This window comes from Homo sapiens, chromosome 11, assembly GCF_000001405.40.
Source record: "Homo sapiens chromosome 11, GRCh38.p14 Primary Assembly".
Classification (NCBI taxonomy): domain Eukaryota; kingdom Metazoa; phylum Chordata; class Mammalia; order Primates; family Hominidae; genus Homo; species Homo sapiens.
In genome coordinates, this window is record NC_000011.10 from 18,527,684 (window position 1) to 18,554,872 (window position 27,189).

A 27,189-nucleotide genomic window follows, 5' to 3' on the forward strand; every position below is an offset into this window, starting at 1 on the left:
TTTTACTTCCCATAAAAATTCTTCATGGTGACTTACATTAGTCATCATTACACATCACCGTCAGTTTTGTAAGCACAGTGTCATTCAAGGTATTGTAAAATTTTGAGTTTGATGATGTGTGACAGTTTCAATTATTTTAGTACAGCCCTAATGAGAACAAGGCCGTAGTATTGATTCCCTTCAAAGTTGGCGTCTAAGTGAAGGTCACATTCACAAGGAGGGCCTAACTGAAAGCATGTGGAAGCATCATTATAAACTGTTGCTAACACGCACAAATAAAGGCTATTAATAGGTATTGTTTTTCTTTTTCTTTTTCTTTTTTTTTTTTTTTTGAGTCACTCTCACTCCATCGCCCAGGCTGGAGTGCAGTAGCACCATCTCGGCTCACTGCAACCTCCGCCTCTGTTTTTCAGCTCCTTAGTTAAGCATACAGCTCCAGTCAAACCAAACTAGAGGTCTGTCTGTCCTTCCATTTTACTTGCTGTTTTATGTCTTTTAAAAGCAAGAAGGTTTTCAAACTGTTCTTAAAGCCACGGCTTAACCAGGAGTCCCTTTAATTAGAGCAACTGTACCTTTGTGAGTTGGAGGAATGCCAGGTAATATATATTATTTATATATTTTATAAATGCAACATTTATAAATATTAAAATAAATTTTACATATATATATATATATATATATATATATATATATATTTTTTTTTTTTTTTTTTTTTTTTTTTTTTGAGACAGAGTTTTGCTCTTGCTTCCCAGGCTGGAGTGCGATAGTGTGATCTTGGCTCACTGCAACCTCTGCCTCCCGGGTTCAAGCGATTCTCCTGCCTAAGCCTCCCGAGTAGCTGGGATTACAGGTGCCCACCACCACACCCAGCTAATTTTTTGTATTTTTAGTAGAGACAGGATTTCACTATGTTGGCCAGGCTGGTCTGGAACTCTTGACCTCAGGTGATCCACCCGCCTCAGCCTGCCAGAATGTTGGGATTACAGGCGTAAGCCACTGCGCCCAGCCCATTTATATATTTTTGTTGCCCAGGTCATGGTGCAGTGATGTGAACATGGCCCACTGCAGCCTCGACCTCCCTGGCTCAAGTGATCCTCCTGCCTCAGCCTCCCATGTATATTGGGACCACATGCGTGTGCCACCATGCCCAGCTAATTTTTAATTTCTTTGTAAAGATGAGGTCTTACTTTGTTGCCCAGGCTGGCCTCAGAACTCCTGGGCTCAGGTGATCCTCCCACCTTAGCCTCCCAAAGTGCTGGGATTACAGGTGTGAGTCACTGTGCCCAGCAATATATTGTTTAAAAAAGCTTTCTTGCTGCATGTTTACTATCAGTCTTTTGCAATCTTTTAGGGTCAACACTATACCTCAATATAAAGTGTTAACTTCTTATCTATTTCATTGGAACCATGGAGGATTGAATGTGTGTGGGGAAAATGTCTTTGTGGTTTTAGAAATATGCAAAATCAGTTAATTTTTTAATGTGAAGGTAATAGTAGTTGAAATGCTTTTGAAAGTTGCTTGCCATTTCAACACTAAAGATGAGTTTTTTTCCACTCATTAGGCATTTTGATTTCTATCCTCACGTATATTAGTGGAGAATTTTAAATCCTCCGATTATCACAGATGAAAACACAAATAAGCTGATGGTGCACCTGCAGTCCCAGCTACTCCATTGGCTGAGGCAGGAGGATTACTTGAGCCCAAAAGTTTGAGTCCAGCCTGGGCAATATAGTGAGAACCTGGCTCAAAAACAAAAAGATTTAAAAAGTTTTCTTGCTAAAAATAATTTTTAAAAGTTTGAAAATGATAAAATCTAGTCTCTTCATTTTACACAAAATAACTAAATATCCTGGGTACTGTGTGAATTATATGAAAAAAATTCCTTAATCTGAATGTTTCACTTAATAAATGAAGCATCTCCTGGTGATTTTAAAATCAGTTTATTTTACTCATTATTCTTAATATTTAAGGAAAACAATGTAAAATGGGAAAAAATGTATCTTCTGCTACATCAAAAAAGCATTTTAATCCAAACCCCACTAAAAATTATAACAAGCTCTGCATGATTTCATAAAAATGAAAACATGAAAGTTAACAAGCATTGAAAATGCCAAATTATCACAAAATCATAGGGAGGTGGTGGTGGTGATATTGCTTCTTGACTTACACTGGGATTTACAACATGATTACTAATACACTTAACACTCAAGGAAATATCTGATACAGAGAATTACTTCTACATTGTGGCCTTCCAGAGGGCAAAGACTATTATTCATCTTCGAATAGTCAAATTCTAACACAGTATTTGGAGTAACAGTAGGTGTTAAATAAACATTTGTTGTATTGACATGTTCCTTTTATAATTAATGTAATGATTTCTTGGTAATTTATTATACAATATTTTCTGGTTAGATTATTGTTCAAAAGCATATTACATATTATCTAACTTTAATTAGATATCAAATATTAGAAAAGGCTAGTTTTAAAAACACAAGAAATAGTTCTTTCAGTTTTACTTTCCTATTTCATAAAAAAGGACAGTAAGAATACATTGTTAGAGTAACATGAACTAATTCACGTGCATATTGAAATTAGATAGAACTAAATGCTTTTCTCTTCAAATGTCCAAGGTTTTTATTCAGTTAACTCTGGTTGGAATCTTTCCAAGCATATTAAATAGTTTTCTGCTTTCCTAACATGGGTTACTGAATATAATTTCACCTTTTCTTTATGACTAAAGTTCATCATTATAAGCATTCCTTATTACACTAAAACAGCATTAGTTTGCCTATTTCCTCTTTACTAGGATGTGTCTGCCCTTATAAACCCTCCTAACTCCATCTGGATTAACCTATTATATGCTTGCTTTATTTTTATTTTTTTAGAGACAGGGTCTCACTCTGTTGCCTAGGCTGGAGTGCAGTAGCATGATCATAGCTCATTGCAATCTTGAACTTCTGGGCTCAAGTGATCCTCCTGCCTCACCCTCCTGAGTAGCTGGAACTACAGGTGCACATCACCACACCTGGCTAATTTTTAAACTTTTTTTTTTTTTTTTTGAGACGGAGTCTTGCTCTGTCGCCCAGGCTGGAGTGCAGTGGCGCGATCTCTGCTCACTGCAAGCTCCACCTACCGGGTTCACGCCATTCTCTTGCCTCAGCCTTCCGAGTAGCTGGGACTACAGGCACCTGCCACCACGCCTGGCTAACTTTTTGTATTTTTAGTAGAGACAGGGTTTCACCATGTTAGCCAGGATGATCTCAATCTCCTGACCTCGTGATCTGCCCGCCTCAGCCTCCCAAGGTGCTGGGATTACAGGCGTGAGTCACTGCGCCTAGCCCATGTTTGTTTTTTATAAAAGCATGCCCTTACATGAGAATGAAAGTAATCCTTTCATGGTGTACAGGACCCCAGCTTTAGGGTCTTTTGATAACTATTTTGGCTATTAAGCCTTTTCCCCCTTTTAGTGCCTAGAAAAAGTAGAGGTTGTATGGATAAGTGCCCCTTAATAGCCAAGACTTCTTGAGGACTAAACCTCAATTTCCTTTTATAAAATGATGATGGCAATAGTCCCTACCTCAGTGGTCTGTTGTGAGGATTCAGTAAAATAATAAAGTGCTTATCATGCTGCCTGGTATATATGAAGTGTTGATGTTAACTGTTACTATTAGTTGTATGTCACAATAGTAATAATAAGCTATCTTTCACATAAGAAAATATTGCTCTTGATCCATCACCAAAGTGTGTGTACTCTGAACTGTATCATCAGGAGAGGTTAAAGGATTTGCTCAGAACAAATAAAAAACCTCTCCCTATTATGACCAATGTTTTTAATGAAAATCTCATATTTTGGCTTTAAAGTAAGGTGCTTGGCTTTCATTCATAATCTATTTCCACTAAAAATATATATTTGCTTATGGTTCCACTAATATCACAATTAGTTTATGAGATGTTGGAGATCTTGTAATACTCCAGGAAGAGGTTATGGAAAATTTCATAAAGGAAGTCCCACTGGAAATTAAAGTAAACTTTTAATGCATATATTTTAAAAATTCACTTTCCATTTTACTATTTTAAAGTGCATGTAAAATTCTTTTCCATTTTTTGGTAGGTAATTAATTTGAAGAAGGGAAATACAATGCTTTACTATTACTACCAACAGGATTTTACACAAGAAACATTAGTAACTTAAGCTGTGGATCCTGTGAATGTACAACTGACACAGATTTTGTAAATCCATACTGGGCCTGGAACTTATGTTGATTATAAAAGTCAAAGGGTAATTTTCTTTTAAAGATATATTACTTATAAAATATTCCCGAAGTATGAATTGTGCTTTTAGTTTAGGATATATGATTTAAATTGATGCACACTGCAGATGAATGTTTACCCCTGCTGTAGATTTAAAGAACAGCATAGATATCTCAAGAACCCCAAATAAAATTAATTTTTCCCCTCCTTGTATAACTCCTTAAGGATTTACATCACAAAGCTAATCAAGAAACCCTCTACTTTAACCAAGCAGTTTGTAAAAGTAAGTAGCAGGATACAGAAATCCTCAAACCTATATATAGGTAAAATTAAATGACTTTTCCCTTTAGGTAGAAGTCCAGCCTCTCAAATTGCATTTGAGAATCAAAGTTTTAACTGTTGTTGGAGACTGTGGATTGAGGATGCACTGCTTTGGAGTTTCTCAGTAACTGTATCTTCTTTCAGTGTGGTTTTGATAACTTCAGATACTCCATTGGTTCCAAGGATGCAAGGCAAACTTAAAAACACTTCACTATTTATATCATAATATCCCTGAAATGAGAAAAATAGGGATTTAATAGAACTAAATCATTGCAAAGAAGTTAATACAAAAATGCATACTTTCTTGCTTTCTTAACTAGGACAAAGTGATACAAGTTGGACTTAAAAAAATTTTTTTGTTCATTTACTTATTTTATTTTTAGAAGTCCAGACCTCACAATCATTCATTGATTCTATAAACTTGTTATCATTTCAGAAAATTTTTGAGAGATGGAAGCAACTTGGTCAGACACCCACTTTGTAGAGAAGCAAGCTAGCCCCCCCTGCAATATGGGTAGGAGGTTGGGGGCTAAGAAAAAAGATAGTTAAGAATGTATTTCCTGGGGAGGGGCATGGGATGGTCTCTGGGCACAGTCATGACAATAGCTTCTTTAAAAAATAAAACAACTGGTACCATAAGAGTGTGTATTTGTGGGGTACATGTGATATTTCAATATATGCATATAACATGTAATGATCAAATCAGGGTAATGGGGCTATCCATCACCTCAAACATTTATCATTTATTTGTGTTGAAAACATTCCAAATGGTCTCTTCTGGCTATTTTTTCTTTTCTTTTCTTTTCTTTTTTTTTTTTTTGAGATGAGGTCTCTCTATATTGCCCAAGCTGATCTTGAACTCCTAAGCTCAAGTGATCCTCCCACCTTGGCCTCCCAAAGTGCTGGGATTACAGGCATGGGCCACCACACCCAGCTTCTTCTAGCTGTTTTGAAATGTACAATAAATTATTAATAATCACACTCACCCTACTGTGCTGTTGAACACTAGAATTTATTCCTATCTATTTTTGTACCCATTAACCAACTGCTTTTCATTCTATCCCCCAACCGCAGCCTGTGGTAACCAACACTCTACTCTCTACCTCCATGAGATCAACTTTAAAAAAAAAAAAAAAAGCTCCCACGTGAGTGAGAATATGTGATATTTGTCTTTCTGGCACATAAATCTGGGGTGACTTGGCTGGCTGAGATGATAAATGACAGTCAGAAGAAATTTATGGATATATAAACACTATTTGGGGGTTACATGAGTAAGAATATGTGATATTTGTCTTTCTGGCACATAAATCTGGGGTGACTTGGCTGGCTGAGATGATAAATGACAGTAAGAAGAAATTTATGGATATATAAACACTATTTGGGGGTTACCAAAAATCACATGAGGGTGAGAAGGCAACCTGATAGAAGTCCACACTTTTTTTGTTTGTTTGTTTTCGAGACTGAGTCTCGCTGTGTCACCCAGGCTGGAGTTGCAGAGGTGCTCACTGCAACCTCCGCCTCCCGAGTAGCTGGGATTACAGACATACGCCACTATGTCTGGCTAATTTTTGTATTTTTAGTAGAGAGGGGTTTCACCATGTTAGCCAGGCTGGTCTCAAACTCCTAACCTCAAGTGATCCACCTGCCTCGGCCTCCGAGTGCTGGGATTACAGGCGTGAGCCACTGCCCCCAGTCAAAATGTTATCTTTGGAGACAGGGATTCGCTGTGTTGTCCATGCTGGAGTCCAGTGACATGATCATGGCTCACTGCAGCCTCAACCTCCCAGGCTCAAGAGATTTTCCCACCTCAGCCTACTGAGTGGTTGTCACATGCCTGGCAAAGTTTTGTTTTTGTTTTTGTAAAGTTGGGGTCTCACTATGTTGCCCAAGCTGGCAGACTTCTCATAGCTAAGCAGGATAGGGCTTAAACTAAACTGCCTTCTCCTACCTGTTACTCTAAAAGCTGGTGATACTGAAGACACCTGGGGTTAGAGTATGAATAATGATTTTGTTAGTTTTGTATTAATAATATCTAAGTTTAAAATATAATAAGAGAATAAGAATAGCAATTACCTTTGCTAAAGCTGATACAGAATGCACTTTCTTCTTATTGTTTACAATACTGTCAACCATGTCAGCTACTGATAGTCCAACAGACCAGGATCTTTGACCTTTTACTCTTAGCAGTTCCATGGCTCTAGGTTACAAAAATACGTGATCTCAGAAAATGCATAAAATATGCACATTTAGTTTTACATTCTGGCTAAGGTATTAATTAGATGTTTCTATGACAGAAACAAGAGTTATGCAGCAATTGTTAGGGAAGCCTATAGATAATCTAATCTAATGTTTATTTAAACTTTTCCTAAGATGTCAGATAGGCAGTTCAAAGAAAATACAAATGGCCTAATAACATAAAAAATGTTCACTGCCATTGATATTTAACCAATATGAATTAAAACAATAAATACCAATTTGCCTATCGATAATTGGCAAAAATTAAAAAGACTGATAACTAATTTGGAGAAACTGTAAACAGGCATTCTCATAACTGCTATTGAGAATGTAAAGTGATCTAACCTTTTAAGAAGAAGATTTGGTAACGTCTGATCTAGAAATTCCTCTTCTAGGCATTTATCTTACAGCAGTATGCTCAAGTGTGCAAAGATGTACATAATAAGCATGTCTGCAATATTTGGAAACAACTCATCAAAAGAGGACTGGTTAAATCACTACCAAGCGTAGTACCATGTAGCTTTTGAGAAGAATAAGGTAGATTTACATGTACAATGTGCAAAAATGTCTGAGATTTCATCATTAAGGAAAGAAATGAAGTTGCAAGATAGTATGGATAGCATAAATCTATATTATTATACATTTGTAGAAGCATTGAAAAACAATTTTTTCTTTTTAGAGACAGGGTCTCTGTGTTGTCCAAGCTGGTCTCAAACTCCTGGGCTCAACTGATCCTCCCATTTCAGCCTCCTGAGTAGAAAAAAAATTTTTTGGACATGTGGACACTAAATTGTTAAAAATGGTTGTCTCTGAAAAATGGAATTACCTTAGCTTTTTCTTTTAATATTTTATAGATATCTGCAGTATCTGAAGTTTTATAATAAGCATACATTCTTTTATAAATGATAAAAATACATAAACACTTAAATTTCTTCCTTTTAAAAAGTATAAATGCAGGATTGTATAATCAGATTAGAATGAATTATACCATACACTAATCTTCTCAAGAAAGAGAACACTTTTTCCAGTTGTTATATTCTAAAAGTCATAAGCTGATGGCTTTGAAAGCTAAAGATCACCACCTCTCAGACTTCAGGAAAATGTTATATGACGGTGAAACAACAAATGCCATGAGTATAAATTCTGTGTAGAGTCCTGCCTATGCGGTACAGACCCCTGGAAGGCCTCTGGATAAAAGCAAAAGATACAAGGATCTGTGTGTTACACTTTTTTTTTTGCCTGAACATATAATATGGCTTATCCATTCATATTAGACTGATTTCCAGTTCTATTTGTGTGTGATTAATAGATATTCATTTTTAAGTGGTGTGGACAAATTATCTTCTACATTAAGAAAATTGTTGGCCTGGCACGGTGGCTCACACCTGTAATCCCGGCACTTTGGGAGGCCAAGGCGGGTGGATCATGTGGTCAGGAGATCAAGACCATCCTGACCAACATGGTGAAACCCCGTCTCTACTAAAATACAAAAAATTACTGGGCATGGTGGCGCATGCCTGTAATTCCAGCTACTTGGGACACTGAGGCAGGGGAATCGCTTGAACCCGGGAGGCGGAGGCTGCAGTGAGCCGAGATCGCGCCACTGCACTCCAGCCTGGTGACAGAGTGGGGCTCAGATGTTTAGGTAGAGAAGCAGTAAATCACTGTCTACAAATAACATGTTTTACCATTTAAATGTCAACTGTGTTATCTGAAAAAGCTTGCAAAGCACTCTTAGATCTACCTTCAGATAAGAAATCAAAGAATATAAAACACTGCTCCTTTATACTTTTGGGTTTGTCCATATTAGTTTTGTTTCCAGAAGCCTGGTTAAGTACATACTGTATAAATAGCTGTTAGCTATGAAGTAAATGATTTTTCGTTGGATAAATGCAAATTTCCAGTCAGTGTTACCTGTTGGACAGCTGCACTTGAGAGGTATGACTCACTACTTCTTCTTGGCCACTCCATGTGAGCACTAAAATTAGATGAAGAATTAATTATGTTTTGCCAGTGACTCTTTGGATTAAGATGTGATAACAGATCTTTTGGAGTCAAGGGTACCTGTGCTAATATTTATATAGAAGTTTTCTCATTTCTAGCAAGTTAGATTTTTCCACTGGATAACAATGAATGTGCTGTACCACTAGCCCGAGGTGAGGAAAACTCTGAACTACAAAAAACATGATCCCCAAAGTCTGCTTGCAGTCTCCTTACCTGTTTTCTCTCATCAGTAACAGTTCTGCAAGGGCCATTTTACTATCTAAGTAGAAACCTATAAGCACTTGACATTTGTTCTGCTGAGAAATGCACTGAGACTAATTTCACCAGGTAGGGAATAATCTGGTCACCTATTTTGGGCTAGAATTTCCACAGCTGTTACAGAGGCAGAGAATCCTGTTCCTTTTTTTTTTTTTTTTTTCAGATGGAGTCTTGCTCTGTCGCCCAGGCTGTAGTGCAGTGGCATGATCTTGGCTCACTGCAACCTCTGCCTCCCGGGTTCACGCAATTCTCACGCCTCAGCCTCCCGAGTAGCTGGTACTACAGGCACATGCCACCATGCCCTGCTAATTTTTGTGTGTGTGTGTTTAGTAGAGACAGGGTTCACCATGTTGGCCAGGCTGGTCTTGAACTCCTGACCTCGTAATCCACCTGCTTCGGCCTCCCAAAGTGCTAGGATTACAGGCTTGAGCCACCACACCCAGCACCAGGGTCCTGTTTTCTAAAAGAATCTTCTGGGTTACCCATTTCCTTTTACTACATCATTTACAAAAACAATTCAAAACTTCAAAGCTGCATACACAGACTGGAAATTTCTTTATATATATATATATTTTTTTTTTTTTTTCTTTTTCTTTTTGAGACGGACTCTCGCTGTTACCTAGCCTGGTGTGCAATGGTGTGATCTTGGCTCACTGCAACCTCCGCCTCCCGGTTCAAACAATTCTCCTGCCTCAGCCTCCTGAGTAGCTGGGACTACAGGCACCCGCCACCACACCTGGCTAATTTTTGTATTTTTAGTAGAGATGGGATTTTGCCATGTTAGCCAGGCAGGTCTCGAACTCCTGACCTCAGGTGATTCACCCACCTTGGCCTCCCAAAGTGCTAGGATTACAGGTGTGAGCCACTGCGCCTGGCCAGACTAGAAATTTATATCACACTTTAATATTATTATTATTATTATTATTTGATACACAGTCTTACTTTGTCACCTAGGGTGGAGTGCAGTGGCACACTCTCAGCTCACTACAACCTCTGCCTCCTGGGTTCAAGCAATTATTCTACCTCAGCCTCCCAACTAGCTGGGATTACAGGTGCCTGCCACCACACCAGGCTAATTTTTGTATTTTTAGTAGAGACAGGATTTCACCATGTTGGCCAGGCTGGTCTTGAACTCCTTACCTCAGGTGATCTGCCTGCCTTGGCCTCCCAAAGTGCTGGGATTACAGGCGTAAGCCACTGAGCCGAACTGCACTTTAATATTAAATTGAAGTTGCCAGTAACATTTTGAAACCTTTCCAATGTTCACCTGTTTCTCATCTGTGTGAAGAGATTGTTTGGTACAAATCTGTACATATTTGAGTAGGCAAAACAAAAATACTTGTGGCTATAGAATAATATGTTTAAGATACAAGAATTCTAAACTACATTCAAAATTAGACCACTTAGTCATGTGTCAGCAACAAAGGACCCCATATGTATCCAGATGCCTCCCTTCCTCAAACTGATTATAAGCTCCCAGAGTGCAGGGACCATGTATTATTCTTTTGTGTTCTCTTGCACATATTCTTTTTTTTTTTTTTTGGAGACGGAGTCTCACTGTGACCCAGGATGGATTGCAGTGGCACCATCTCGGCTCACTGCAACCTCCGTCTCCCAGGTTCAAGCGATTCTATTGCCTCAGCCTCCCAAGTAGCTGGGATTACAGGTGTGCGCCTCAGACTCCCAAGTAGCTGGGATCACAGGTGTGCACCCCCACGCCCGGGTAATTTTGTATTTTTAGTAGAGACGGGTTTTCACCATGTTGGGCAGGCTGGTCTCAAACTCCTGACCTCAAGTGATCCACCCGCCTTGGCCTCCCAAAGTGCTGGGATTACAGCTGTGAACCACCATGGCTGGCACCTCTTGCACGTATTCTTTACCATGGTGTTGGGTACACAATCGAGGAAAATACAAAACCTCTCGCATGATTCATAATTATATTTGGTAACAAAGGGGAAAACATACTTGCCATAGTTAAGTTGAAAAACAGAAAAAGGGCCGGGCGTGGTGGCTCACGCCAGTAATCCCAGCACTTTGGGAGGCCGAGGCGGGTGGATCATAAGGTCAGGAGTTCGAGACCAGCCTGGCCACCATGGTGAAACCCCCATCTCTACTAAAAATACAAAAATTAGCCAGGCGTGGTGGCGCATGCCGGTAATCCCAGCTACTTGGAGGCTGAGGCAGGAAAATCGCTTGAACCCAGGAGGCGGAGGTTGCAGTGAGCCGAGACCGTGCCACTGTGCTCCAGCCTGGCAACAGAGCGAGACTCTGTCCCCAACCCCCCCAAAAAAGAAAAAGAAAAACAGAAAAAGTTTTATAAGTTTTTTTTTTTTTTTTTTTTTGAGACAGTCTCGCTCTGTTGCCCAGGCTGGAGTGCAGTGGTGCAATCTCGGCTCACTGCACCACCTCCCAGGTTCAAACAATTCTCCTGCCTCAGCCTCCCGAGTAGCTGGGACTACAGACGCCAGCCACCCGCCCGGCTAATTTGTATTTTTAGTAGAGACAGGGCTTCACCACGTTGGCCAGGCTGGTCTCGATCTCCTGACCTTGTGATCCACCCGCCTCGGTCTCCCAAAGTGCTAGGATTATAGGCATGAGCCACTGCACCCAGCCAAAAGTTTTTGTATAAGAAAAAAACACAAAACCATGAACTGTTATATGAAAAATATAAATACATATGGACAACTTAAGGGATTTTTAAAATGTTTTACTTAGATAGAAGGGTGATAGGTGGATTACTTTAAAAATTTGTTACATTGGGCGGGATGTTTTGAAAATTGTGTTTTGGCATGAATGTTTTACTTAGATAAAAGGGTAATAGGTGGATTACTTTCTTTAAAAATTTGTTACATTATTTGTATGAACTTACTTAACTTGGCAAATTAAGGAAGGCTTCCTGGGAGAGGTGGCACTCAAGCCCAATCCTAAAGGGTAAGCAGGAGTTAGCCAAGTGAACGAGTTCAGGGAAAGGAAGCAGCAGTTGCTAAGTTAAGGAGGCATGAGAGTGCATAAACCATTCAGTAAACTGCAAGTCAACCACCTGACTAGCATAGAATGCCTGGGAGAATGGGAGACGATGAAGCAGGAAATAGACCTAAAGGTCTTGTATGTCATGTGATTCCTCCCTAGGCTGTAGCTGTCACTTGTCTCTGAAATACTTGAAGAGGATATTTTATTTACACAATTGTTACTCTTATATCTGTTTCCAAATCCTAATGTTGCTTTACTTCAAAGAGTTATTTTACATGTTTTTTGCCAATTTTCTATTCATCACCATCTTGCCAATCACTGTAATAATAGCTACCATTTGCTGAGCGTTTGCTGTGTGCCAGATACTGTACTAAATGCTCTAGATACATTATCTTAAGTGACAGCAAGGAAGAGCACAGCTTCAGAGTCAGATCAGGGTTCAAATCTCAGTTCTGCCCTTCACAGATATGTAACCTTGGGCAAATTACTTATCTCATTGAGCCTTAAGTTTCCTCATACATAAATCTGGAAAACCACTACCTCCTTCACAGAGTGTTTATAAAATTTAAATGAGATATGCAAAATATTTAATACACATAGTAGGTACAATAAAAAATAATTATAATTGCAGTTACTGTGATGGTATCACTTATGCAAAAGTCTAAACAGTTGGTATCTATACATGAAACCAGCAGAGGGAGCTTCTAATCCATTTCTGATACCAGGACCAAGGTAAATATACCTATCCATGGATATAACTAGCTCTTCAAGAAGAGTAGAAGACAGAATAAAAAGTGATCAGATGGTACTTCTAGAAGGCAGACAGGGAGATAGACTGGGGAGAACTACATAGTTAACTTCAGTATCAGTAATGTTCTTGATTGAGTATGGATTCATACGTGCTCAGTTATGTTTTAACACTGGCATTATGTGTGTCAAATATTACATAATACTACATTTATGTGATCTCAATTTGCATGCACCTACATCTCTCTATTTCTAGTTCCAATTTGAGACCTCAAGACAGAATTACCACATCTCTTCCCTGTGGTTTTATCCTACTTCCCTTGGACCTCTCTCAGAGTACAGCCTTCCAGTCATTTCCAGTATTAGACTCAAAGTTTCCTAAAGACAGGGTCAGGTTCTTACACATCTATATAGTTCTAACAGCAATCAACACAGTGTTTATTGAGCAAAGCAGGTGGCCAATAAATGTTTCTGAAAATAAATTCCTACATTTGGGATAAAAGGTCATTTAATCAAATACAAACTGCTTTTTGGTAGGTTTTAAATTGTTCCTCTGAAGAGCTCACAATTAACTTCTATTAGATTGTTTTTTTCCTTCACCCAGATATACTAGGTTAGGGTAAGTGGTATATTTATCACATCACATCAGCCTGTATTTTCTCTTTATGAGACTTAAGAAATTAATACAACCATATTTCAAACATTCTTACTCATTCAATATTTATTGTATATCAACTATTCCTCAAAACTTGTAAATTAGAGAGGCTGGTTAAGTAAATTATGGTATATCCAGTAGTTAAAAAGAATGAATGAGCTCTATGTTACTGTGCAATCATTCCATAATCATTGGTAAGTAAAAGGGCGAGGTGGAGAATGATGTATGATGTCTATTTCACATGTGTGCTTGTCTATACACAGAATATTTCTGGAAGATTATAAAAGAGACTGATAACTGTGATTGTCCCTAGGAAGAAGGATTGAGTGTCTGGCATCTAAGGGAGACTTTTCACTGCATATCTTTTTGTACTTATTTTTCCAGTGTGAATGTACTACATTTTCAACTAAAATAACTTAATAATTTGCACTTTAAATAAGGAGAAGGTCACACACAAAAATCAGATAAGAACAAGCAGCAGGACAACAAAAGTAACATGATGAGACAAGATGTAGTTTATTACCTTATAGATTGAAATAGCTTTAGCTCAAAGGAGTGAAGAAATCACTGTGAAGTGATGTGATCAGGAAAAAACCTTTATCATATAAGGGATGCTTGACTTAGACCTTGAAAGATGTCAATAAGATGGCCGAGAAGGCAAAGGGATTACAAGGGAGGTAAACAAAGTGAGTAAATGTCCCTGTGGCAAAGCTGTGGGGTGGGCCTGGGAGACACAAGACCTGGGTGCTAGTCCTTTGACCCTAAAAGCTGTAGGCTTCCACGCAGGTCACTTTTACAATGCCTGCATTCACTGGCTCCCTAAAACAAAATGTAATAGATGGTCCCTTCCAGCTCTCTAATAACGTGGCTATCTCCCTAACTATAATTGGGAAGAAAGATTAGGGTTATATTTTGGGGGTCCCTGAGTGCCAAGCAATGCAATTTAATGGTTTGGTCAGAGGAAGCCTCTGAAAGTTTTTGAAAATAATAACATGTTTTAGGAAGATTGAATTAATATGTGAGAGCACACAATAAACATTCTATAAGTTTTGAGTAATATTATTATTATTTTCACATCATTTACCGGGTAGACTAGAGGGGAAGAGGCAAACTAACCATGAGATGTGCAATAACCAGGCAAGCAAGAGATCAACATGGACCAGAGGGTTTGGTCTATGTTGGGTTTTGAGTTTGAATGAGCCATGAATTTCAAATGTATTCAAGTAATGAATGAATGGAGACATTCATTACTTGAATACATTTGCTCCAAGTTCTTGTTTGCTACCCTTTTCCAGGGTCCTGTTGATTAGTGTGTAGTGTCAGGGAGCATTTGGAGCCTCAAAAGTATTTTTGCTCAGTCATGCTGTCGGGTTTTTTAAGGGTTTATTGTATAGCCTGACTCATTCTAGCACTGAGCCTTCTAGTAGCCAGTGCAGATTTTTACAGATTTAAAATACTGTTATATTTTATTAAAATGCTTTTCTTAAAAATTATATAAATACTACATATTTTTACTACACAGAAAACTATAAATTTTTAAAAGTTACCTCTAACCTAGATATCATCAATGTTAATATTTTATTTTAATGGCATCAAAGTATAGATGACACTTTAAATTCCAAGGAAATAGTTTTGAGAGGGTGATTTGCTTTGTGGAAATATGGTTTGACATCTATTTAACTTTTTAATGTGCATGGTCTTTCTCTAACTCTTCAATTAAATTATTACCTCCTCACCGGCAGAGGAGTTATTTTCTTTTCTTTTCTTTTTTTTTTTTTTTTCTTTGAGACTAAGTCTCACTCTGTCGCCCAGACTGGAGTGCAGTGGTGTGATCTCGGCTCACTGCAGCCTCCGCCTCCTGGGTTCAAGCAGTTCTCCTGCCTCAGCCTCCTGAGTAGCTGGGACTACAGGCACGTGCTGCCATGCCTAGCTAATTTTTGTATTTTTAGTAGAGACGGGGTTTCACCATGTTGGCCAGGATGGTCTCGATCTCCTGAGCTTGTGATCCATCCACCTTGGCCTCCCAAAGTGCTGGGACTACAGGCGTGAGCCACCACACCCAGCCCAGAGAGGTTATTTTCTATATCATGCTCTACCTTGCAGCACTTACATGCTGAGTGAAGTTAACAGTAAGTACTTCAAATGATGAAGTAATGACTAATTTTCCCCAGATCACTTTCCAGCTCTTCGATCGGGTATTCACAGATCTTCAAAATGTAATTTCAATTAGATTTATCTCATTGAAACCTTCTGCAACAACTAGTCCACATTTTTTATCCCATGAACATGCCATACTTAACTTCGTGCTTTTGCCTAATTCTGATTTCCCATTCCTGGAGTGTTTTTCCTATTGTTCACTATCTATTAAAATCCTATTCATTCGTCCAAACTCCAGTTCAAACTCCAGATGGCCTTTATAGAATTTTCTCTAGTCATTTCAGCCCATGTTAAATGCTCACTCATAAGTATCTAAGCACTGTAAGTGTATAGTACTCACTTTGGCACTTACTCTAATAGTATACTATTATCTTTATTTTACTCATATACTTAAATGAACAAAATCAGGGTGAACAGCACTTAAATCACTGACCAACCTGGCTTTATAGCAAGAGAGAAACAATAAAAGAGTAAGGGAAGAGATTCTCAAGTTAAATAGGGAAAGCATTCTTTTGAAATAGGAAAAGGAGCTTTCCAATACAGGAAACTGAATGCCTTCTGTGGGAAAGAGCAAGTGGCTGGAGAAAAAGGCCATAGGGATAAACAATGAGTGAAAACTCTGTTTAAAAAGAAGCAGACAGAAGGCATGTATCTAGGGAGAAGGTCTGAACTTGGGAAAGGTAAGCAAGGTTGAAGGGTGGGAAGAGTAAAGGAAAGAGTTCTATATATGCTTTAAGGTTTATTTAAATGTTTCTTTCTGGAAAATTAAATTTTTAAATTGATCCTGAACTCTGAAATTCAATTTAAAAATATAAAATCCTACTAAGCGGTCTTGTCTAACCTTAAACTTACAGAAAAGTAATTACAACGAGAATGACACATATGAGGAATTTATTCACAATATAGGGCCTGTTATACAGAAGGCACACTCAAATGTGGAACAAAGCCAATTAAGCCCACAATTCTGGAGTCCTCAGATATATGTGAATGCCATGACCACTGGCAATTTTGGTTGTAACTAATAATAATGTACTTCTTTTTTTAGCGATGGGGTTTCACCCTGTCACCCAGGCTTGAATGCAGTGCTGCGATCATGGCTCACTGCAGCCTTGACCTCCCGGGCTCAAGTGATCCTCCCACTCAGTCTCCTGAGTAACTGGGACTACAGGCATGCACTACCGTGCCTGGCTAATTTTTTATCTTTTTGTAGAGATGGGGTCTTGCTATGTTGCCCAGGCTGGTCTTGAAGTCCTGGCTTCAAGCAATCCTGCCTTGGCCTCCCAAAGTGTTGGAATTACAGGCATGAGCCACCACACCCAGCCTAAAAACGTACTTCTTACCTTTGTCTTCTCCTTGCTCGCCAATAACCCATACTTCTTTGCCTGAAGTCTGTGCCTTCAAAACATTTGTAATAATATACTGTAATCTCTGTGAATCCAGATTACATCCAATTCCGATCACTCGATTTGCAGGAAATGTACTCAGTTTCCATGTTACATAGGTCATGATTTCCACTAAATATTGCATACAAGGTAAAAAATGTAAAGGTTAAAAAATATATACTTCTAGCCTAGCTCACAAATATTTATTATTTTAATAAGTATATTAGGTCCTCAATGCACTGAGGCATTATATGTATATATATACACACACACATATATACATATATATACTATATATATACACATATAATACACACATACATACACACATATATATACACGTATGTATATATACGTGTATATATGTGTGTGTATATCTATCTATATCTATATCTATATCTATATCTATATTTTTTTTTTTTTTTTGAGATGGAGTGTCGCTCTATCGCCCAGGCTGGAGTGCAGTGGCACGATCTCGGCTCACTGCAACCTCTGCCTCCCGGGTTCCAGCAATTCTCCTGCCTCAGCCTCCCGAGTAGCTGGGACTATAGGCACCTGCCACCATGCCCAGTTAATTTTTGTATTTTTGGTAGAGACGGGGTTTCACCATGTTGGCCAGGATGGTCTCGATCTCTTGACCTCATGATCCACTTGCCTCGGCCTCCCAAAGTGCTGGGATTACAGGTGTGAGCCACCGCGCCCAGCCCATAACATATTTTTAATGTACATTAGAAACACTAACAAGGTTTCAACAAGATACATTTTACTGTGTTTTGTTTGTTTGTTTGTTTGTTTTTTGAGATGGAGTCTTGCTCTGTCCCCCAGGCTGGAGTGCAGTGGCATGACCTGGGCTCACTGCAACCTCTGCCTCCCAGGTTCAAGGGATTCTCCTACCTTAGTCTCCCTAGTAGCTGGGATTACAGGTGTGCACCACCACACTTGGCTATTTTTTGTATTTTTAATAGAGGCAGGGTTTCACCATGTTGGCCAGGCTGGTCTCAAACTCCTGACCTCAGGTGATCCACCTGCCTCGGCCTCCCAAAGTGCTGTGATTACAGGCGTGAGCCACCGTGCCTGGTCAAATTTTATTGTTAAATATAAATTGTCAGGGGTAGAAAATAGATAATTCCTAGAACAGTTAAGTGAGGATAAAAACTGGTACAAAAAACTAAAAAATAATTTCTTCTTATTGATCGAGTTTTCTTTTACATCTATCTATCTTAAACTGAATTTCTATCTTTAAATTAAAATACTGATTCATATGCCACCATGATTCAGTGTCGCATTATGAATGAAAACACAACTACTTTTTTCTTACATTCCAAAAGCATGTCGAGAATTAAAGAGATCAATGTCCCTCAACAAATTACTACAAAAAAACAACTGAAATGCATACAATACCTCTACATTGGGAACATTTAAAAAAAATCTGTTCACCAATTTGAGCCCAGTACAAACTAACTCTTTGAAAATATTTCTATTTTTGAGTACGACAGTTCCAAAACAACCTGCAAAATACAAAATGTTAAAAATGCACTCTGGCATGCTAACATTTTTGATACTTCAGAATTAACAAAATATCATGCATATAAGTCATTGCATTTTTCTCTTGGGAGTTTAAACATCTTCTCACTGAGGAAGGTATGGCTTAGAACCTAGAACATAATATCATATTTCATTAAAAAATTGTATGCTGGAACCTTCTAGATAATGTTAGTCATAACAAGTAACTGGTTGCCAGAATATTACACTGTTTATTATATAGGCAATTTTGCTGAATATTCTAGCCATCTCTTTATAATTTAAAGGCTTTTTTTGTTTTGTTTTTTATTTTGTTTTTGTTTTTTTTTTTTGAGAGAGTCTCACTCTGTCGGCCAGACTGGGGTTCAGTGACACCATCTTGGCCTCACTGCAACCACCATCTCCGGGGTTCAAGCAATTCTCCCACCTCAGCCTTCCAAGTAGCCGGGATTACAGGCACCCGCCACCATGCCTGGCTAACTTTTGTATTTTTGGTAGAGACGGGGTTTCACCATGTTGGTCAGGATGGTCTGGAACTCCTGACCTCAGGTGATCCGCCCGCCTCAGACTCCCAGTGTTGGGATTACTGGTGTGAGCCACTGTGCCAGGCCCTAAAGTTTTATGGTTTTTATCAGTAATGGCAATTCTACTGATGTACTGGACCATCAACTTAATTTAAAATAAAGCATTTTACCTGGTTGAGATGCAACGAGCAGGACACTGTGTTGACTATAATGTCCCAGAGCTGGGACAAGGGCTCTGAACATATCCACATTGCTCTGTACCACATCAAGGTACGACTGAGAACTACCCAAAGAGTTGACTGTGAAGATCACCACCTTGGAATGAGCAGAGGCAGACAAATCTAGTGAATGAAAAGAAACAGTCTGAGCTGAAGATACAGGCTTTAATCAAGTTCTAGTTCACGATTAAAAGGTTGTTCTTTTCAACAAATAAGAGAGCTTTTAGGCACGCCTCCCCATAAATCAACCCCAGATCCACAAAAGCATATAAAATGCGGAGGTTTGCCTCCAAAAAGAGGATTAAGAGTAAGTGTTGACTGGGTGTGGTGGCTCATGCCTGTAATCCCAGCACTTTGGGAGGCTGAGGCTGGTGGATCACTTGAGGCCAGGAGTTCAAGACCAGCCTGCCCAACATGGTGAAACCCTGTCTCTACTAAAATATAAAAATTAGCCAGGCATGGTGGTGTGTGACTGTAGTCTCAGCTACTCAGGAGGCTGAGGCAGAGATTCAGTTGAACCCAGGAGGTGGAGGTTCAGTGAGCTGAGATCTCGCCATTGCACTCCAGAGTCTCGTGACAGAGTGAGACTCTGTCTCAATAAAAAAGGAAGAGTGTATCCCCAGGGGGGAAGATAGCAATAGTAATAATCAAAATAAATTATGGGATCTAAAACCTACAAACAAGAACTGAGTTTTTTATATAAATTACAATTTTTAAAGGAAAATAAATATTATGCTATAGGCAAAATGAACCTACCATCAATTACACCATTGGTTCCTAAACTGTGAGCTTAGGTGCCCTAAAGTTCCTTGAAAGAAACTCAGAGGCCATCAGGGAGGAGTGGAAATAAGTAGGAAGAAGGCTGGTAAGTATAGCTCCAGGCCACTTACTTTGGCCTATCCAAGCAGAATAGTGGTGCTTTTTAAAAATCTGTTTTACTTATTAAGGATTCTACTCTAAAGAGTAGTTCAAAAATCTCTAAATTAAATATCTTGGCTTTTTTTTAATAAAGAGACAAGGTCTCACTATATTGCCCAGGCTGGACTCAAACTCCTGGGCTCAAGTACTCCTCCTGCTTCTGCCTCCTGAGAAGCTGAGACTTTACCACACCTGCCTCTTGGATCATTTTAAACTGACTTTTCTTATACAGAAGCCCAGCTGTCCTTGGATAACTACTTCTTCCCATGGGAACTACAGGTAATCAACTGTTATGACTTAGGAAAAGCTAGTCTATGGAGTTCACTCTGACTCCAGAGCACCTTTGACCCTCCAGCACACGTTATGCTGTTACAACTATATTACTCTCCATTGCACAGTGTGTTTTACAGTAAGTACATGCCCAAACCGTGGCCAGATGTTACCAACATCAGAAATAAGAGAACCATAATAAAGTAATTAGAATGGCATCAGTCCAGTCAACATTTACAAATGAATATTAGCCTCCCAGGGAGACAGTAGACTCCATGGTTTATATTCCTAATTAAGCCTCTAAGGCCATCTTTCTTTTTTGTTTTTTGAAATGGAGTTTCGCTCTTGTTGCCCCAGGCTGATGTCCAATGGTGCAATCTCGGCTCACCACAACCTCTGCCTCCTGGGTTCAAGTGATTCTCCTGCCTCAGCCTCCCAAGTAGCTGGGATTACAGGCATATGCCACCACACCCAGCTAATTTTGTATTTTTAGTAGAGACGGGGTTTCTACATGTTGGTGAGGTTGGTCTCGAACTCCCAACCTCAGGTGATCCACCCACCTCGGCCTCCCAAAGTGCTGGGATTACAGGCGTGAGCCACCGCACCTGGCTAGGCCATCTTTCTAAACAAGTTTCAGAAGGAAACACTTGTGCAATGTGTCCACTGGGAGATGCATTATCTAATTTTACTTCCTATTCTGATACAGTTCTAGTGATGGTAGATCTAAACACTAAGTCCTAGATTTTAATTATGGTTCTTCATGAGTCCTCTTAAGTAATTCCTATGTTGTAGGATTCACAGTAGATACCTGGTGATGAGTCAAAACCTCAAGAATTAGAAGACATTAGAACTGGAAGGGATATACTTAACAATTCCATATGTGTCAAACACTGTTCTAACAGTTCTCCATAAATTTATTTGTTTAATCTAATCAACAATACACAATGGAGTATTTTACAGATGAGAAATCTGAGGCACAGAGAAGTTAAATAAACTGCTCAAAGTCATAGAGCTGAAGTGTAGAGCCAGAGGTTAAGCCCATGCAGTCTGACTTCAAAGTGCTATTAAACACTATGCTACATTTAGAAACTTAGTCCTACACCCTCATAAGGATGAGGAAACTGTTATGTGGAGAGGTTAGGTGGTCTGTCCATATTATGAAATATTAGTGGACAGTTCAATTTATAACTCTACAATCTGGCCCCAGGCTATTGTGATTATTTCTTTTCTTTGCTCCTTTAGCTTCCTCATCTTCAAGGTTGACTTAGGAGTAAACATAGTAGTGGCTACCTAATATGATTTCTTTTCTTTTTTGTTTTGAGACAGGGTCTCACTCTGTTGCCCAGGCTGGAGTGCAGTGGTATGCAATCTCAGCTCACTGCAACCTCTGCCTCCCGGTTTCAAGTGATTCTCCTGCCTCAGCTTCCCTAGTAGCTGGGATTACAGGTGCCCGCCACTGAGCCCGGCTAATTTTTGTATTTTTAGTAAAGACAGAGTTTCACCATGTTGGCCAGGCTGGTCTCGAACTCCTGACCTCAGATGATCTGCCTGCCTTGGCCTCCCAAAGTGCTGGAATTACAGGCGTAAGCCACTGTGCCCAGCCCCTAATATGATTTCAAAAGTACAAGAAAGCCTTCCTACTCCCAAAGATTTTCCCATCAAGCTCTCGGGCCTTTTAATCAATTCCTCTGAGTTTATTTTTTATTTATTTAATTTTTTTTTTGAGATGGAGTTTTGCTCTTGTCGCCCAGGCTGTAGTGCAATGGTGCCATCTTGGCTCACTGCAACCTCTGCCTCCTGGGTTCAAGTGATTCTCCTGCGTCTGCCTCCCAAGTAGCTGGGATTACAGGTGCCCACCACCATTCCCAGCTAATTTTTGGATTTTTAGTAGAGATGGGGTTTCACAATGTTGGCCAGGCTGGTCTTGAACTCCTGACCTCAGGTGATCCACCTGCCTCGGCCTCCCAAAGTGCTGGGATTACAGGTGTGAGCCACTGTGCCCGGCCTCCTTTGAGTTTAAAAGCCAGTATTTCTTATATTTTAAAGTTTTCTTTTAGACATGGGGTCTTGCTATGTTGCCGAGGCTGGATTCAAATCCCTGGGCTCAAACAATCCTCCAGCCTCAGCCTGCCAAGTAGGAGGTACTATAGGTGTATGCCACAGCACCCAGCTCAGTATTTCTTTAAATTCTCCTACATAAACTTGTGATGCAGGCTGAATTGGTCTATACTCATTCCCTAGAATATCTACCTAATTTTCCTGATACTGGCTTTTGCTCAAATTCTCACTGCACTCACCACATGTTTGACAAACATCTGCTTAACTGTCTACATCAAACATATTACAAGCTCTGGGGGAACAGGGATTATTTGTTTCTTACTCATCTTTCCACCTCCAAGATCTAGTCGCATAGCAACTGGAACATTTCCCCCAGCTTTCTGCCAGTCCAAATCTCTCCAATCCCAGAAGAACCAGCAACTATCTCAATCCTAATCAGTTGAAAGCAATCTCTGTCTCCACCCAACTTCGAGTCCTCACTGTCTGGACCACTCTCTTGGCATTAATCACATAGTGCCTCCTCACTCTCTTGTCATGAATAACTGTTTATATATTGCATGTGTCTTTTTATCTAAACTTTAAGCTGCTTCTGACCAAATAGAGTCTTCCATTTCTATCAATCTCTTGCAGCAGTTCTTAAATGCTAGGCTAGGTGCCTAAGCCTAACCTGGGAAGCTTAATAAAAATGCAGATTAGCCCATGTTCTGAAGATTTTACTTAAATATATAAGGGGAAATAGCTTCCAGAATGCAAACCCCCAGATGATTCTGATGCACAGCCAGGTTTGGTTAGCATTGCTCCACAGGCAACTAAGTTCCTTGTACCTGGCACTCAAAATCTTTGACTTTTCAAGTCTTCCCTTACAAGTTGATGATTTAACAAGGGAAGAAGATTATACAGTTATAAAGAGAATTAGAAAGAACTTTAAGCATGATTATTAAAGCTATAAATTACAAGGTTAAGGATCAGGATAGGCCGGGTGCAGTGGCTCACACACGTAATCCCAGCACTTTGGGAGGCTGAGGTGGGCGGATCACGAGGTCAGGAGTTCAAGACCAGCCTGGCTAAGATGGTGAAACCCTGTCTCTACTAAAAAGAAATTAGCCGGGCGTGGTGACACGTGCCTGTAATCCCAGCTACTCAGGAAGCTGAAGCAAGAGAATCGCTTGAACCTGGGAGGAGGAGGTTGTAGTGAGCTGAGATCGCGCCACTGCACCCCAACCTGGGCAACCGAGTAAGACTCCATCACAAAAAAAAAAAAAAAAAGAGGATCAGGATAAAAGTTCATTCGACAATAATGAATTCAACAAACCCCTACTAAGGTCCTGTCATGTCACAGGTAATGTGTTAGGCCCTAAGAACACAAAAGTGAACATGATATTGTCCCTACTCTATATATCACACAATGTAGTACAAGGGTTAGTAAGGAGGGCTTCAGAATGAGACCGCCTGGTTCAAATATGAGTTGTCCCACTTAGACATTAGCATAATGCTAAGTTTCCTCCCATGCCAAGAACTCAGTCAGCATCTGTGTTACCAGGACACAAGCCTCTCACCTCTTTCCCATTTCTATAGGTAGCCCAGAAAAAACTATATCCTTCCTGCTAAGCCAAGGTCTACAACCTAAACCAAAGGCTGGTCACAGTTATACTAAGGGATGATCAAATCAAGTATGTCAAAAGACCCAGTAAATAATATTTCATGCTTTAATATACTACTGTTCTCGGATTATGAGGCCAATGTTATGATGAATGAAATATGAACTCATTTTAAAACACTGCTGATTATTTAAAATACTGAAAGACCAGGTAACTCTGTATCAAATAATGATGGGTAAATACCGTGCAGACCTACTGAAATATTCTAGCTACTCTATCAGTCTGAATATACTGAAGACACTACACATATTTTCATTTATCTGGTATATCATTAAGCCATTCTTACGGTACTAAAAATTATTGAATATACTCTTTTCAAATTATTTAATATGACCCAAAATTTTAGAAATGTGTGTTCTCTCATACTAATGATAATGACCCTTAATCTAGAAAACTGTGCTAAAATTATAGCTATTAAAAATCTTCCTGAAGGCTAGGTGCAGTGGCTCACGCCTATAATCCCAGCATTTTGGGAGGCCAAGGCAGGTGGATCACTTGAGGCCACGAGTTTTGAGACCAGCCTGAGACAACATGGTGAAACCCCGTCTCTACTAAAAATACAAAAATTAGCCAGGTGTGATGGTGTGCACCTGTAATCCCAGCTACTCAGGAGGCCGAGGCAGGAGAATCACTTGAACCCAGGAGGCGGAGGTGGCAGTGAGCCGAGATGGCACCACTGCACTCTAGCCTGAGCAACCGAGCGAGACTGTCTCAAAAAATGAAAATAAAAATTAAAATTAAAAAATTAGGCTGGTCACGGTGGCTCACGCATGTAATCACAGCACTTTGGGAGGCTGAGGTGGGCGGATCACCTGAGGTTGGGAGTTCAAGACCAGCCTGACCAACATGGTGAAACCCTGTCTCTACTAAAAATACAAAATTAGCCAGGTGTGGTGGCACACAATTGTAATCCCAGCTATTCGGGAGGCTGGGGCAAGAGAATCGCTTGAACCCAGGAGGTGAAGTTTGCAGAGAGCCAAGATTGCACCACCGCACTCCAGCCTGAATGAGTGAGACTTGGTCTCAAAAAGAAAAAAAATTAGGCTGGGCGTGGTGGCTCACCCCTGTAATCCCAGCACTTTGGGAGGCCAAGGCGGGTGGATCACGAGGTCAGCAGATCGAGACCATCCTGGCTAACATGGTGAAACCCCGTCTCTACTAAAAATACAAAAAGTTAGCCAGGCATGGTGGCATGCGCCTATAGTCCCAGCTACTTGGGAGGCTGAGGCAGAAGAATCACTTGAACCCAGGAGACAGAGGTTGCAGTGAGTCGAGATAGCGCCATTGCACTCCAGCCTGGGTGACAGAGTGAGGTTCCGTCTCAAAAAAAAAAAAAAAAAAAAAATTAGCCGGGCATGGTGGCGTGCTCCCGTAATCCCAGTTACTTGGGAAGCTGAGGCAGGAGAATAGCCTGAACCCAGGAAGCGGAGGTTGCAGTGGGCCACGATTGTGCCACTGCACTCCAGCCTGTGCATCAGAGCAAGACTCTGTCTCAAAAAAAAAAAAAGAAAAGAAAAAAGAAAATACAGTCACTCATATGATGGAATATTATGTAGAACGTTTTCAAAGAAATAGAGTTACTTAGAGCTATATGTACTGTTAATAAACATCTTCAAAAGTGTAGAATTAATTCCTTAATAAGTTAAAGATCAAATTACCATATAATCCAGCAATTTCACTTTTGGATATACATCCAAAAGAACCAAAAAGAGGTATTAAAAAAACTGGTACATGAATGTTCATAGTAGCACTAGTTACAATAGTGAAAAAGTGCAACCCGATGTCCATTAACTGATAAATGGATAAATAAAATGTGCTATATCCATACCAAGAAACATTAGCCACAAAAATGAATGATGCACTGACACGTGCCACAACATGGATGTACCTTGAAAACATTATGCGAAGTGACACAAAAGTCACATACTATATGATTCCATTTATATAAATTAGCTAGTAGAGGAAAATCCACAGAACAGACAGATTAGTAGTTGCCAGAACCTGGGAGAAGGGAAAATGGGGAGTAACTGCTCAATGTGTACAGAGCTTCCTTTTGGGGTGGTGAAAATGCTGGAAATTAGTGGTGATAGTTGCACAACATTGTGAATGAGTACCTAAAGTCACCAATGGTAAATTTTATGTTATGTGTATTTGGGCACAATAAAAAGATAAAAGGATTTAAATATATATACTATTATATGCAAAAAACAAGTGCAAAATCAATTCCCTCGGTCTGACTCCTAAAGCAACTACTCTTAATAGTTTCTTTTTTTTTGAGACGGAGTTTCGCTCTTGTTGCCCCCAGGATGGAGTGCAATGGCACGATCTCGGCTCAATGCAACCTCTTCCTCCAAGGTTCAAGCAATTCTCCTGCCTCAGCCTCCTGAGTAGCTGGGATTATAGGCATGCACCACCACATCTGGCTAATTTTTGTATTTTTAGTACAGATGGGGTTTCTCCATGTTGGTCAGGCTGGTCTCAAACTCCCGACCTCAGGTGATCCTCCCGCCTCGGCCTCCCAAAGTGCTGGGATTACAGGCGTGAGCCACTGTGCCTGGCCATTTTTTTTTTTTTTTTTTTTGAGACAGAGTTTTTACTCTTGTTGCCCAGGCTGGAGTACAATGGCACAATCTCAGCTCACTGCAACCTCCGCCTACCAGGTTCAAGCGATCTTCCTGCCTCAGTCTCCTGAGTAGCTGGGATTACAAGAACCCGCCAGCATGCCTGGCTAATTTTTTGTAGTTTTAGTAGAGATGGGTTTCCACCATGTTGACCAGGCTGGTCCTCAACCCCTGACCTCAGGTGATCCACCCGCCTCGGCCTCTCACAGTGCTGGGATTACAGGCATGGGACACCGTGCCCAACATCTTAACAGTTTCTTAGTATTTCTCCAGATTGTCGGTATATACACAAGCATAAGTGTGTATGTATGTATCTGTATGTAAATTTTCATGCTCATATGTATATATGTATATCCCTCCCCAAAATGTTATAGTAGCTATTAAAAAAGACATCAAATGATCAGTCAGCTGCAGTCATCT

General features: G+C 39.8%; 1 protein-coding gene across 7 annotated transcripts in view; it reads right to left on the reverse strand.

The window, feature by feature from the left end:
* UEVLD (UEV and lactate/malate dehyrogenase domains) overlaps positions 1,926 to 27,189 on the reverse strand; it is a 59,126-nt gene continuing 33,862 nt past the window's right edge. For 3 of the 7 annotated variants that reach the window (NM_001261384.3, NM_001261382.3, NM_001040697.4), the window contains 5 exons: positions 19,197 to 19,367; positions 16,940 to 17,113; positions 8,723 to 8,786; positions 6,647 to 6,770; positions 1,926 to 4,804 (listed from right to left, as the gene is read on the reverse strand). In NM_001261384.3, coding sequence (NP_001248313.1) covers positions 4,637 to 4,804; positions 6,647 to 6,770; positions 8,723 to 8,786; positions 16,940 to 17,113; positions 19,197 to 19,367 — 701 coding nt within the window. In that variant the 3' untranslated portion in view covers positions 1,926 to 4,636. The remainder of the gene's footprint in view (positions 4,805 to 6,646; positions 6,771 to 8,722; positions 8,787 to 16,939; positions 17,114 to 19,196; positions 19,368 to 27,189) is intronic. The other 4 variants (NM_001261383.3, NM_018314.6, NM_001261385.3 and 1 more) reach the window with 2 other exon arrangements.